Below are 15,695 nucleotides of genomic sequence, written 5' to 3' on the forward strand. Positions count from 1 at the left end.
AGAACTAAATGAGTTTGTGCATGTCATGAAGGATTTCTCTATCAAGCAGGAACTCCAAGTTATATTCTCTTTTGTTTTCTTCAGTCTTTTTATGTCTGCTTAGTACTTATTGTTTAGTTCACTCAACACTTATTATATTTTTCCTTTAAAAATTATATTGTGTATTCAGCTCTTTGACTTTATGCCTCATATGCTCAAGAGCTACATTCTTTCTTCTTTATATTCTTTATAGTGTCTAGCACTGTGGCTTGCCACATATAAGGCATTTATTAAATGTATGTAATTTGAACTAATTTAGATAGTCATTACTTTAATAGCAAAATTTGAAACAACAGTGTTCTAATCTTAAAAGAAGGAATTATTAAGGCTGTATGTAATAATTAATAATAATAATTCCAACTATTATTTCAAATTTGGAATAGGCTTGGGAAATAGAAGCTTCATTTTCAAACTTCAGAGGGAGTGCCCTATCCCCACTTACACACCCAAAAAATGCAGAAAAAAACGGGAGGAAGAGAAGGAGGGAGGAGAGAGAGAGAAGGTGCTTTTTATTCCTCCATGTATATGATCATTTGATCCTGACTTTCTGTCTTAAGAGGATGGACATCTTTAGGAGCAGTTACTCTATAAGAAATATTCTATATGATGTTAAGGAGAACTAGTTTCTCCTTAACATCATATAGAAGGCTCACATTGTTATATGTGAAGTGGCATTTTTAACATTAATCAAGGATTATACATTATCTTCTGATTTTTTGAAACATTTTTTATATAAAATTTTGTGCTAACACAAGTCTTCATGTAGGTGAATCTTTTATTATACAATTGAGTGCAACTTCAACTCATGTATAATAATTTCCTTTTGCCAGCTCAATTTTCTAGTTATTATTGATTGCCCACATTTTATACATATTGCTCATAACAAAGAATGCTTGTTCTGATAATTATTGTACTAGTGTTGGTAAAGACGGCAACACAATTAGCTTCAAAGAAAGTTAATGCAATACCCCACCTCAGTTCATCACAAGCCCTATTGGATTCCCTATGGAAACATGAAGGGTCAGTCAGGCTCTGCAGGCATAAGAATAATTCTAACATAATAATTGCTTTTCTATTAGTTGTCATCACTACAGAAAGGTGGTTGAGAATTAAGTGCTCTCTTCATCGAAAAGATTAGGCTATTAACTGTACAATCTCTTTTTGGAGACTGTTTTTATGATTATCTGATAATTCAATGCTTTTTCTGCTTCTGGGACATTTAATTAAAAAGCCTTCTTCCACCTCTACAAACTGAGCAAAGTAAAGCGATTTCAACCTTCAATTTAATTAATAAAAATAAACAGCTTTGATGATTTTTTCTTGCATTTCAGGTGCAGTGGGGAGTAATAATTTTTTTTTTGTAAAAACAAAGCATTTTTTCCAGAAATCACTATAATCTTAATTTTCATAAACGTTGTTGTGTTAATCATATTGTAGTGGTCATAAGTCAATGATCTTTAAAAAATCATTAAATATTAAAAATCTAAATGTAATGTTTCCAGGAGACACACACTATTTTAAAGTCATCTAAAAATCTAAAAACCATATTTGGTTTGAAAAAATTTATGTGACTAGATTTTTATTATAATTACCTGTTTCTTATTAATAAATAATTTATTGTATTATATTTAGTTCCTCCATTCAAAGACATAATGGTGATTTTAATCTTTCTTTCTCCTCTTTTCACATTATTTCAACTCTGTTATGTGTTCCACTTAAAAGAAAAACTGCTATATCTGTATTAATTGAAAACAATTTCGCACTGGCTTTATCTGTGCACATAATCAAAATGGAATTATTTTTCTGTGGGCTTTAGTGCCTTTTGTACTGAGTGAATAAGCTGAAAGTCAGTTGCTATATTTGATAAGATTCCACATTTACTCTTGGTGTCTTCCGTCTTATGTTGGGTTAAAAAAAAAGCTTATTACACTTCCCACTTGTTCAATGGTTCTTCTGAAGATAAAAGCCATGCATATCTATTTAACATAGTACATCTGTAAGAGTGCTTTTTTCCCTTCCTTTTTTTTTTGTTGGATTATTTCTGCCTTGTGTGATATTAAATACAGGCCCTTGATTTATTTTTCCTGTGATGAGAAAGTTTTCAACGTTTTAGAATCTCACTGAATACAGACTTAAATATTAAAATAATAACATAGTTCTTCTACATTCATCAGAAATCTCTGTTTTTAGATAAAATGGAATCACATGCGCTCAATAGTTCTATCACAGAGTACGGTTAAACCTTCATGAATGCGGCAGCTCAGATCTCAGGAAGTAGGGTCATAGAAGCAGTTATATATTTAGTATTCCCTGTTCTTTTTAATCTTCTCCTCCCTCTGTCCACATTTTGCTCTTTTCCAATAGACAATTGGGCAAGATAGGGGAAAGAACAGTCAGTTCTCTGCCTCAGCTGCAGTACTAAGTGGGTGACAGAATGAATTAGGAAAATGTATCCCTAATTCTGCTTATTTATTAAATTCCTGGTGTCTCAGAATTTAGCCTGAAACTTTTAATCTGAGAATGTGTATCATGAACATCTTAAAGTCTGATATAGCCAGTGCAGCTGCTCTCACTGCCTATCTCCACACAATATGTACAGAAGACTGGAGATTTTTGAGAAAACCTTCTTTGGAGGAAACTCATAGATAGGAGGAAGAAGTTGTGGGATTTCCCCTTCCTTCTGACTAGAGAAAGAAAGGTGTACCCTCTTTCTTCCCAAATAAAGCTTAGTGAAGGAGCCCCCTAAAATTACTCCAAATAATTCAGCTGACTGCAAGAAGGTGTACAGGTATTCTATTTTTGGACTAGATGCTTGTTAAATTGTAATTTCCTAGTCCTTACTATGTTGCAACTGGTGATTAATGCAAGAGACTTCTTATTCCCCAACATTTAGAATTTTAAGTTTTAATTTAATTTAATTTAATTTTAATTTAGAAGTTAGTGGTTGAATTTTGCCTAGGTAGTTTCAAAGGTAAAAGATTGGCTGGAGTAGTCTTACTTTTGCAGGATAAGGCAAGGAAATCCAGCAACAAAAATGTCTATAATTGCTTTATTTGGTAGTAAAGGAAGTGTGAGGTCCTAAGGGCTACATAGTACCTGGAATAGCAGCTGTCTTGAAATTCACCCAAGTGGGTTGGCCAATGAGGTGAGATTTAGCAGAAAGAAGCTAAGAGTTTTCTGCCAGGGACAAGAGATGGAGCAGGGTATAAGTGATCAGGTAGGTAATATATCAAAAAGTTAGAGAAGGGGACAGTGCAAAACTCCCTTAAGGGAGGGAGGGAAGGGGGACACTCCAAAAAACACACAAATGGGCCTTAAAATAGAAAGTTAGCTTTTGGATGACGACTGTGTTGGAGGGCACCGAGAGCCACATTGTAAAAACAAAACAAACAAAACAAAGTAAAACAAAAACAAAACATTTGACACATAGCATATGCTTTGTCCTTCTTCCTTCAAAGCTCTCTTCCTATTCATATTCCCAATGCTGGATGTAGAAGACAGGTGGGAAGGAACAGAAAAGTTAATTGGAAAGTAAAACCAACTCTACAACTCCTTTCCCCACAGGCAGGTCTACAAGCCATGAGGCGGGCCTGAGACGAGCAAGAGGGGAAGAGCAGTGAGCCAGATTTGAAGCAGAATTTTTGTTTTAGAGTTCACTGGATGTAGAAAGAGATGAGATAGGAGGTCTGGTCAAGATGCTGTTCAACGATAGACAACCGAGGTATTACAAAGCATGTTGGTAGGCACTGGCAGGAGAAAATTCCTGAGTATACCATACCAGGTTCAGCTCAATCATAAACCAATAACCCATTTTTGGCAGAAATCATTTTATTCCCTCTCATCCACTCCATTAAGTTTGGTAATAGTCCTAGTTTTCATTTGGGGATCCTTTCTGGTAAACCTAATTCCTGACTCTAAAAACAGGGCTTATAGCTCAGGCTAAAATATTTCAGCATAAACTCATCTTCTGGAGACATTATTGGTTCAAAGAAGGGTGGCAACCAATTGCAGGTGGCTTGGGCTCCTGGTGTAGGGTTCACTGAGGGCTGGGATGGCAGCTTCAGGGATCTCAGCACCAAGCCCCAGTGGCACCTTCGGAATCTTTATTCCCCCAGCAATGGCTGTGACCCTGAGGACTCATTTGGGTCCTTGTAATTGCCCTCTGCTCAATGAAATATATGGCCTTTTGACTTTTACACATGCTTCTTGCCAACTTTTGGATCTGGGAGAGGGGTTGAGAAGACCTCATTCACATATCTCAGGCCAGGGTTGGCCATGGGAATAGCAAATATAATTAAAGAAATAGTCTCCTTCTGATAATCTCAGAACATCATCATCAGCTCAACTGATACAGAGCTGGAATATTAGAAGTCTTCAGAAGTTGCTTAATTTTTAAGGACGAAAATGCTGAGGGTGCTAATGGTCTTTATTTTTTTCATAGACATGGTGATAAGGATCTGTAAGACACAAGGACATTGGCATAGCTCAGAATGTGATTAAATGTTGTACATGAGAAATATGCAATGCAATTGTGTTTGTCAATTAAAAAAATAAAATATATACAGGATTGCTTTGGGGATATTCCCACCACCAGCCAGAATGTTAACTACATTTTGGATATTTCGATATGAGTTGCATTTTGATTGTAAGGTTACTCAACTTGCTATTCTTTATTCTATGGTGGCAAAAACAAGATAATTCCATCCAATCAAAATGCTTTGGAAGCTTTAATATAAATTGCAAGTTAGCTAAAATTATTAAAAGATGGCTAGGAAAATGCTAACGATCTGTGCAATTTGTTTTGTATTATTTCTCCTAAAATTAAAGTTGGAGAACTAAGTGCAAATCACCAGAACAGCTAATCCAAGTGGTTTTTGTACCACTTGTCTTTCTCATAGGGAGTTTGAACTTTTTAAGTGACATGAGAGCAATCATGGGACACTATACTGACAAAATGTGTTTAACCCTCTATCCAAGTTCATGTCATAGCAGGTAGTTAGGATTGGACACATATGAATGTTTGTTGAAGTGTTGTGCCTCTGAAGGAAAATCACAGATTCTTCAACCACATGTATTCATGTAGATTCCTGCAGAAATATCTGGAGTAGCACTCCTGGCTGGTTTGAATTATGGATTAACCAACGAATGCTTTGATGTATAATATTTCAATGAGAACCAAAGCTATGTCTCCTAGAGGGTTATGTGGCAGATGTATTTGTCCACATTAGACTCCTCATTATATAAGACAGCTGCGTAGATGCAGGACAATATCAACCATGAGGCTTATGCTTGCAGCCCAAGCAGACAACAAAGAGGTATAAAAACATTCTTCAGTGGCTACAGACATCTAGGACACCTAAGAAAAAAAATGTGGGTTTTATATTAAGTTTGGAAGGGGTGGTGTCCATACTTGATACCAAATATTTTAAATATCATTTTCATAATTAGTTATTCTGGGTATAATAAATGGAATTTGAAATCTATGCATGTCTTAAAACTCCTCAAAGAGAAAATTATACGTATTTTTTTAACTTATATTCTTGCAGCTAACTGAGCTTATTTTTCAATAATAGTATTTTTGGTTAACTTTTCTGTCCTGTTTATGGTAAACTCCAGAGGCATGAGAAAAGTTTGAAATTCTATAGAAAGCAGTTTATTTTATGCTTTTATTTAGTCTACGAGACACATTTTCCCAATAATACCAATTAACTACTCAGCCATCTTTTTGTTATTTGGAGAACTTTCATGTTATAGTTAGTAATGACAATTGTTATAAGATAGTCTTTGTGTTTACCAGTGAATGATTACAAGTAAAGTGGAAAACAATTTTCCCATGAGGAACAGCCACCCACTTTTCAGTGTCTACCTGAACTGTCTTAGCTCTGCAGTTAATATACCATTTTAAAATTTTCCTGAAAAAGATTGTTACAGTAGTTCTCTACAGATTTCTGAAAATCTACTCTGAATGTGTTGTGATTAATGTCGGAGGAAAATGTTATAGTAGGCCTAAAACAGAGAACAAAGTAGTGGTTCCCAAACTGACCAATTTCAGAATTAACTAGGGAGTTTTGAGAAACAGAAATTTCCTTTATCCTGCCCAGATATACTCAATCAGAATTTCTAGGGCTGGAGTGGAGTGGAGGAATCTCAAGAAAAAACAACAACAAAAAAGTTTTCCTGCTCTAGGAAGCCATTGTTTTAAAATTAATGGCAATACCAAATTTGCTAAAGTAACAGAGAGATCTATAGGTTTTCACTTTCACTTTTTGAAAGGTCAGGTTTCTAGACTCTTGGGGAGAAACAAACTGTATCCCAGGCTGATGCAATTAGAGGACAAAGCAGCAAGTTAGAAAAGAAACAAAATGACTACAGAATAATCAGTAAACTGAAAGATTTAAATCATAAATGTATAAGTGCCCTTAAAGAAGATATATGTTATATAGTCTCTAGATCTTTTCATCAGGAAAAGTCAAAATTGTTCATCACAAAGATAATCATTTGCATCGATATGGTAATCTCTTTTGGTCTTCAAAACAGTGAAAGATAGACAGGAACGTTTCTATCTTCCTCATTTTGAGAAGCAAAGCTTGTCTCAAAATTACAGATAATTGAGCCAAGGTACAGAAGCCTATGTGTGCTGATCTGTTCTATTTGGTGCTATGTTTTACAGGCAGAGCTGTGAAGTCAGGGGACGGTGTTGTGGGTGATACCTCACACTCTTTTAGTGTGACAGGAAAGTAATAATGCATTTCTTGTAAATGTTGATAGCAAAGGTTTGCAACTTAAAAGGGGAATTTCATATATTTAGAAAATACTTTGAGGTGAAACCCTCACTCTTTAAAGGATTATTTAAAATGGTAATGCTACTACCTAAATTGGTAGATTGGAAGGGAGGTTAAAGGGCATTTAATCATGTTCCCTCATTTTATAGGTGAAGACTCTAAGGCTCAGAGTGCTTTATGGTTTGCATAGTAATTCATAGCTAATCTGAACAATTTTTGGAAAAATAACATCTTTTCTATTTTTCCATCATTATGGATTTGTTAAAGATACTAAAATGAGCTAATTGGTGATTTGTTAGTTCAAATTGCTAATTTTTTAACTTTAAATTTCACTTTTCATGCAAAAATGAACCTTTTTATAATACTTTGAACTGAAGAAATCTTCTTTTCTAAATAAGATGTCATACAACTGAGATAAAGTTTATTATTTTACTTATGAAGGATTCCACCATTCCCAAAATTAAAGTGTTACTTTCTTTACCTGAACACTAATAATAATGGTGGTTTCAAAGGAGCAGCAAAAGAGAAATATTTTCTATTTTTCTTTACAAGCTGTTTACTGTTTTTATTTTGCTCTCTGGTAATAGACAGAAAATTATATAAAACAATATTTTGAGGGAATTTTTCTCCTGGTTGGTTTTAAATCACTGTGCTCCCTGAAACATTTCAATGTTTAAATTCTTCTCAAGTTATTATATTCACCAGTACCTGATTAATCCATTGCAGATATAAAAATGTATTGAAGAATAATAAATGGATACCATGTGATTTTTTAAAACTTGGACAGCTAATGAATGTGGCAACATTTTAAAGGAGGGGATAGAAAAAAATGTTCTGCATAATCAATAATGCATAATTCATACTTAAACATCATTAATTTCTAGCACTACGACATTTTTAAATGAATATATTGAAACGGAAACAAAATATTTTACAAAATGTTTTCCATATGGCAGTAATCTAAAAAATGGGAAAAATTTGTCATTCTTCACTCAGTTTGGCCCAACAAGACTAAATAAAATATTTGTTATGATGTGATGGAAAATAGGGATCTTCTGGCTTATCAGGAAGTTTCTGGAAGTGAGCCTTTCTTACCTAATTGATGTAAAAAAAAAAAAGAAGAAGAAATGTATAACTTTTCAACTTGTAACTGAAAGAAATGGCAGTTTGGGAATAATGGTAATATTACTGAAGGTAAAGCAGAGTGCTATAGAAAAGCTATCTCTTGATGATATTCTGTGGTCCTTCAAGTAAATTAAGTGCAAAGGTTGGCCTCTTTACTTTTATTTACCTAGGCCAATTAATGCCCTTAATTTTTAAGCCACTTTGTGCTTGAGTTTTCTGTTGCTTATAAATCAACGCCTCTTAACTGATAGATCATTTCAAAATCTAAAATTGTACCATGTGCTGCTGTCATTGATGCTGCGTTTTTCTTTGGGTTTTTATCCAATGATGTAAATGTTATAAAGCCTGAAGCTATATAAGAGTATCCATTTGTAAATCAAATAGATAAATAACCTTTAGGTATAGAAAATAGCCTCAATGGGATTATTGTAGAATTCCCCTAGGAATATCATGAAGAGTAAATATTAATGCCTTTTAATTGCTGTAAACTATAGTGTGAACTATAAAGTTTACACTATTGACATGCAGGATCATGACCAATTTTAAAGATGAGTTGATAAATATTACTCAAGAGAATAAATTCACATCCATATCTGCTCCAAAGTAATTTTCTCAAACTTGCATTTGTGTCCTAGTTAATTTATCAGGAAATGAATCTTTAATTTGGAAATATAGTAGTATGGAAAGTTTGTCAAACTTAATTTCTTTTTGTAGAACACTTGACTACCCATATATGATCTTAATAGGATAGTTGGAAACAGTTGATAAAAGTGGACAGTCTGTTTCACTGGCATAAAGTCATCCTTTTTGAGGTCATTTATATTTGTCTATCTTTGAGAAAGCAACATACTTGGTTTCGGTTTCTAGGTGGAACTTCTGAGTCAAGTTGCTGCTCAGAGCATGTGGTATTTTGCAGACTTCAACTCCACCTCAGCACTTGGTTACTAACCACTTTTTTTCTCTAAAACATGGGCAGTTTATATATTATGAACATTGTGTTTACCTTCAGGATATGGTAGTAAGTAGTTTCAGCCATTACAAATCATCATTTTTTTTTCTCACGTCCCTAAGAGCCCCTAATAAGCATTTCTAAGTTCTTCCAAGCTTCTCTCTCCTTTCCCAACTCAATGTTCTGCTCCTAATCTCAGCTGCTCCTATTTTATTGAGTCATTGGCACATGACTCATCCATTACTGAGATTGAGCTGTGTCTACCCCAAAATTGTGACAAATTTTACCATATCTGAATGGATGTATTCGTCAGTTGGGGCTATCATAGCAAATTACCATAGACTGAATGGCTTCAACAATAGAAACTCATCTTCTCGTAGTTCTGGAGGTTAAAAGTTCCAAATCAAAGTCCAACAGGGTTGGCCTCTGGGGAGAGCTCTCTCTTCCTGGCTTGCAGACATCTGCATTCCCACTATGTTCTCACATAGCCTTTTCTTGGTGGGTATGCAGGTAAAGAGAGAGAAAACTCTGTTGTTTACTTTTATAAAGAAACTAATCCTATTTGATCAGGGCCCCACCATTATGACCTCACTTAACCTTAATGATTATCTTAGAGGCCTCATTTCTAAATACATCCACACTGAGGGTTAGGGTCTCAACATATAAATTTTGGTGGGGGGACACAAACATTCAGTCTCTAATACTGAAGAACAGGTAGTGGGGGAGATTTCAAAGTTATTATCTGCATGAGTTACTGAGCATAACTCTGGGATGTGGGAGTATAGGGAAACAATTCCTAAGAAGAGAGAGAATTGAAGCATGTTTGCTTCGTGGTCGATGGATGAAATCCAACCAATGCAGAGAATATACTCATAGAATATTATCTCTTTCTCAAATACTTCCTAGTCATGATTCACGAGTTAATGTTTGAAACTTTAGGATAAAGGACTAAGAAAAGTGAATAAGAACATCAAATGTCTTATAGTTGGACTTCCCTGGGAGAAAATGATAGTGTAAGATATGAATAGCCTCAACATTCGTGACTTCTAGTCTGAAAGACAACTGCGCTAGACCTTTGTCCAAAGATTAAAAAGTGTTTTGGGGCAGGGCGCGGTGGATCACGCCTGTAATACCAGCACTTTGGGAGGCCGAGGCGGGCGGATCACTAGGTCAGGAGATCGAGACCATCCTGGCTAACACGGTGAAACCCCGTCTCTACTGAAAATACAAAAACTTAGCCGGGTGTGATGGCGGGTGCCTGTATTCCCAGCTACTCGGAGGCTGATGCAAGAGAATGGCGTGAACCCTGGAGGCAGAGCTTGCAGTGAGCCGAGATCGCGCCACTGCACTCCAGCATGGGCGACAGAGCGAGACTCCGTCTCAGAAAAAAAAAGTGTTTTGGGATTCATAAATGAAGGTCATTAACACCCTTAATATTGAAATAAGCAAACATTGGACATTAGCATCCTTGGTCTAGGCATTAGCAGACAATGGAGTACCTCTGGTAGGCATCATCAAGAGCATTCTGGTGCTCTTGATGAAAACCTAAAGTGTGGTTTAACATAGGTATTCACAGAGGAAAGGGAGGGAGGGTGTAGTCTGTGAAGTGCTTGTGAGAATCTTGTTTTTGTAAATATGTGAAACAACCTCTATAATTTCTGCAGGGTTTAAAGTGAAATAACAATATTTATAGATAATATGTTCAGAATACCTAGTATGTACTTAACATTTAATCTTTTAGTAATCCTATGAAGTCATTACTAATATTATTTTCTCACATTACTGATGAGAATTACAGAGATACCTAGCACCTTGCCCCAGATCATTTAGCATGTGACAGAGCTGGCATTAGAAGCAAGACAGTTTGACTCTCTATTTTTTAGACTAGTGTTTTTTAAAACTGCTGGAATTCTTGTACTTTGTGTAAGTACTATTGTGATACTAGCTTTTACCCTGAGGCAAAGATGGGTTTTGAAATTCAGGTTCATTTAATGGGTGCACAATAAAGTTTGGGGAATTATAGCAATGAAAATATCTTTAGCCTGTGGGTAAGATATTACCTTTACTTTATTCATCTGGCCATACTATTGCAGGCTAGTCATAGAGATTAGAGAGTAACTTCCTTCCCTGCAGGTTGAAAGATACATTTATTCATTTATCAATTCACAACATTTATTTTAAATGTGTAGCTAACATAAACCAGAAGTACTGGGCACAAAAATGCAGTCATAAACAAAAATGGATAGAAACTTTTCTGGAAAAATTCCTTTCTAGCAGGTAAGTAGCAGCTAAAGAGCTGTGAACAGTGGTTAATTGATTGATTAGCAGTTTCAAAGAATAGTGTTTTAAGGTGATAAATATTCTGTGACCCAGTTAAAGAACTAGCAGAGAGTGACATAAAAACTAATTAACATATCCTGCAGAATCAGATAAACCTCTACATCCTTTCTATTTATCTCTCTGTTTTGTGTGTCTATTGTCTTATCTTTCTGTCCAGGTCCCCATACTATTTTTTTTCTTCCACTTCCTTTCTCTTCAAAACATTTAATCAAATAGAATGTAGCTAAATTTTTTTTACTCTTTTTTCCATTGACCTAGAAAGTGTAGGCAAAAATACGTGTTTGGGGTTTTTGTTGTCATTGCTGTCTATTACCCTTTGTTTTTTTTCCAACTCTAGAGGGTCACAGAAGTTTTTCTGGCAAGAGGAGACTTCATCCTTAGTAGAAGGGTAACTGTCAAATGACTAGGCGTCCAGCCAGCAGATGGAATAGGAAAAGGAACCGTGGTACTGGTGACCCTCCAAAGCAAGTGAAGTAATCTGTTAGAGGAAAAGACAGTTTTAAATGTATTCTATTTCTAGAGAAAATTGAAGCCAAATTTCCATGTTATCCATCATTGAGAAAATTTTTAACTAATACCTTTACTCCTCTTTTTCCCTTTCCTTGTATATTTTCTGAAGATAAGAGAAAAAGGCCAATTATAAATCCCTCTTCCAAATGGAAGAGAAGGGGGAGTTTTAACTTTAAACAAAGATTGAAGCTTCGACTATTACATGGGACAGGACATATTAATGACTAAATTGTGGCTGACCTGTTAGCCTTCAAATGACCTGAGAACATTTGATAGTGTGTAAAAGTAATCAGAAATTAATGGGGCTTGCCGGAATCTTCATTGTAGGGCAGGGGATTTGCTAGCCCAAAAGATCATATGAAAGGGGCAGAAAGACAAAAATAATTTTGCTTTCTAAAAAAATCTACTTTATGGTTTTACCTCATGTGTTACTACAGTTACATTTGCTTGTATGTAACAATATCCTCTAGAGCATATCCTGGGAGTAGATTTGCAGGGACAGCTTATGCACATATTTAACTGCTAATTATAATGCTGAATTGTTTTTGACCTAGACAGCCTAAATGTTTTCCTCAAGTTGGCTAAACTTTAGACAGGTTTCCTCTTTCCTCTGGGCCTCCAACCTTCCTCTCATCCAGACCTTTAGAGAATCTTGATGGCCTAACCATGGAGGTCCCTCCTCCCCTTCCTTTTCTTAGAAAATTTACCTAAGAAAACCTGTAATTATAAATTCTTTCTCTGCCCCTTTGAGATGTAAATCTTGTAAAAGCCTCTTGCCAGTTTTACAACCCAGGAATATTTTTCTCAAAGACCTGAAAGTCATTCCTTTGAAATGTGATAGGAAAGGAAGACAGAAGAACTTTCTTTCAGTCTTTATGGCAGGGTAGAAGCCTAATGTCACTGGGCATGTAGCTCCAAGTTCTAAACCTACTTTCTGTCAGGAAGGTACAAGAAACTTTACTTTTTCTTTGAATAAAGCCAATTAGTAAACACAGATGTCCTATGATTACCCTCATCCCAGCCATTGTACCTTCTTTTTCTTCAGTGGAGTTGAGTTCAAGCTGAGCTCTGGCCTCTCACTTCTACTGCAGTAACCTTAAATAAGGTTTTCCTTGCCTGTTTAACTATGTCTGGTACAATTTTTGTTTTGACATTTTCCAATTACCTTACCATCAACGGTGTATGAGAAATTCTGTTATTGTAATTTCTAGTCATAACTTGGTATTTCAGTTGTCTGTTTACTTTTTTCATCATGATAGTTGTTCAGTTACATCTCATTTTAAATTTAATTCTCATTTTACTGATATAAGATTGATCATCCACCTTTTCATATGCTTAGTGGATCTGCATATTTTCATTTTCTGTGAATTGCTTGATCAAATTATTTGCTCATTTCTGTTTTTTTTTTTTTTTTTGTCTTGCAGATGTTTTAGACTTTCCCGATATATTCAACATACTAACCCTTTGTTGGCTATGTGTAACACACTTCTTTCTCCAGGTACAGGTGTATCTACCTGCTTAGTATATCAGTCTTGTGAAGAATAGAAAATAACCATTCAATGTAGAAAACTCTATTTTTATTTCATATAGACTTTGTGATATTTTATTTGAAAAAATCTTCCTTTGCATTGCAACCACAATATATATATTTAGAGACAGGATCTCACTTTGTCACCCAGGCTGGAGGACAGTGGTGTGATCACAGCTCACTGCTGCCTTGAACTCCTGGGCCCAAGTGATCCTCCTGCCTCAGCTTCCAGAGTAGCTGGGACTAAAGATGCATGCCACTGTGCTTGGCTAATTTTTTTATTTTGAGAGAGACAGGGTCACACTGTCTTGCCAGACTAGTCTTGCAATCCTGGTCTCAAACATTCCTTCTACCTCAGCCTCCCAATGTTCTGGGATTATAGGTGTGAGCCAGCCTATATTTTTGAAGTTTTGCTTTTTATATATGACTTTAATTTGCTTAAGTAGAATATGAGATACAGATCCAATATCATCTTTTCATGTAGCTATATATTTTTTCTGGCAATACTTTTATATGCTTGATATGATTAGTTTAAAAATTAAATTGAACAGAAATCCCTAAAAATTGAATGTGAAATGTCACAAATGAATCTAAGTATTTATCTTAGTGACATTGATTTATTTAAATCACTATATTTATTTTAAAACATAGTAATTGACTATACATCCTTGTGGAATATAACTTAAAGACAAGGCAATTGAAAATATTTCAAACTGTTTTCAGTGATATAATAAATTACAACATTGGTATTATTATTTTGAAATAACAATGTATGTGTCTATGAATATATATGTGTATATATGTACATAGGTACATATATTTATAGACACATACACCTATGGAATATATAATAAAATAAATTTTGTAATTAGGTTAACAATATATCAATGGAATGTACAGAATCTGGAATATGGAACAAATAAACTAATTTGTTTTGGCAGTAACCTGTGGGACAAAATAGGAAAGGGAGAAGGAAACTATAGATTAAAAGAGATTTAAGAGTACATAAACTAATGATAATGTATAGATCTTGTTTGGATCTTAATTTAAGCAAACCAAATATTAGAAAAATGTTTTAAAGACTGGGAAGGAAATTTAGACTTAAAGTAAATATTTGATTGTCTTATTGTTAACTTTTTAAAAGTGTGTGATGGTTAATATTGAGTATCAACTTGATTGGATTGAAGGATGCAAAGTATTGCTCCTGGGTGTGTCTGTGAGGGTGTTGCCAAAGGAGATTAGCATTTGAGTCAGTAGACTGGGAGAGGCAGACCCAACCTCAATCTCGGTGTGCATCATCTAATCACCTTTCAGCATTAAAAGCAGGCATGAAAAGAGCAGACTACCTGAGTCTTCCAGACTCCATCTTCCTCTCATGCAGGATGCTTCCTGCCCTCAAACGTCAGACTCCAAGATTTTCAGCTTTTGGACTCTTGGACTTACACCAGTGTTTACCAGGGGCTCTTAGGCCTTCAGCCACAGACTGAAGGCTGCACTGTCAGCTTTCCTACTGTTGAGGTTTTGGGACTTGGACTGGTTTCCTGGTTCCTCAGCTTGCAGATAACCTATTGTGGGACTTCACTGTGTGATCATGTGAGTCAATTCTCCTAATAACTCCCCTTTGTATATTCATCTATCCTATTAGCTCTGTCCCTTTGGAGAACCCTGACTAATACAAAGTGTAATGGTAAAAATTAATTATGTATTTTTTTAAATTTTCCTTTCAGTTCCGGGATACATGTGCAGAACATGCAGGTTTGTTACATAGGTATGTATACATGTGCCATGGTGGTTTGCTGCACCTATCAACCCGTCATCTAGGTTTAAGCCCTGCATGCATTAGTTATTTGTCCTAATGCTCTCCTTCCCCTTGGCCCCCACCCCCTGACAGGCCCTGGTGTGTGACATACCCCTCCCTGTGTCCACGTGTTCTCATTGTTTAACTCCCGCTTGTGAGTGAGAACATGCGGTGTTTGGTTTTCTGTTCCTGTGTTAGTTTGCTGAGAATGATGGCCTCCAGCTTCATCCATATCCCTGTAAAGGACATGACTTCATTCTTTTTTATGGCTGCATAGTATTCCATGGACCCAGCAATCTCATTAGTGGGTATATACCCAAAGATTATAAATCATTCTACTATAAAGACACATGCACATGTATGTTTATTGCAGCACTATTTACAATAGCAAAGAAATGGAACCAACCCAAATGCCCATCAATGATAGACTGGTAATTATGTTTTTAAAAATATTACTTATCTTTAGAGATATATAATAAAATATTTACAGATGAAATGATATGATGCCTTGGATTTGCTTCAAAATAATCCAGCGAGTAAAGGGAAAGCAGGTGGGTTTAGAAATGAAATAAGATTAACCAGGAGTTAATAATTGTTGAAGCTTGGTAATGGGTACATGAAGCT

General features: G+C 35.4%; 1 pseudogene, besides 1 other annotated feature; it reads left to right on the forward strand.

Annotated features, from left to right (window-relative positions):
• On the forward strand, window positions 4,228-5,347 carry PDK1P1 (pyruvate dehydrogenase kinase 1 pseudogene 1; annotated as a pseudogene).
• Window positions 8,751-8,840: an enhancer, noted in NCBI's record as "active region_28256". NCBI's record gives its function as "activates an Ori minimal core promoter by ATAC-STARR-seq in GM12878 lymphoblastoid cells {active_cell/tissue: GM12878}" and the evidence as "EXISTENCE:reporter gene assay evidence [ECO:0000049][PMID:35858748]".

This window comes from Homo sapiens, chromosome 9 (genome assembly GCF_000001405.40).
Source record: "Homo sapiens chromosome 9, GRCh38.p14 Primary Assembly".
Classification (NCBI taxonomy): domain Eukaryota; kingdom Metazoa; phylum Chordata; class Mammalia; order Primates; family Hominidae; genus Homo; species Homo sapiens.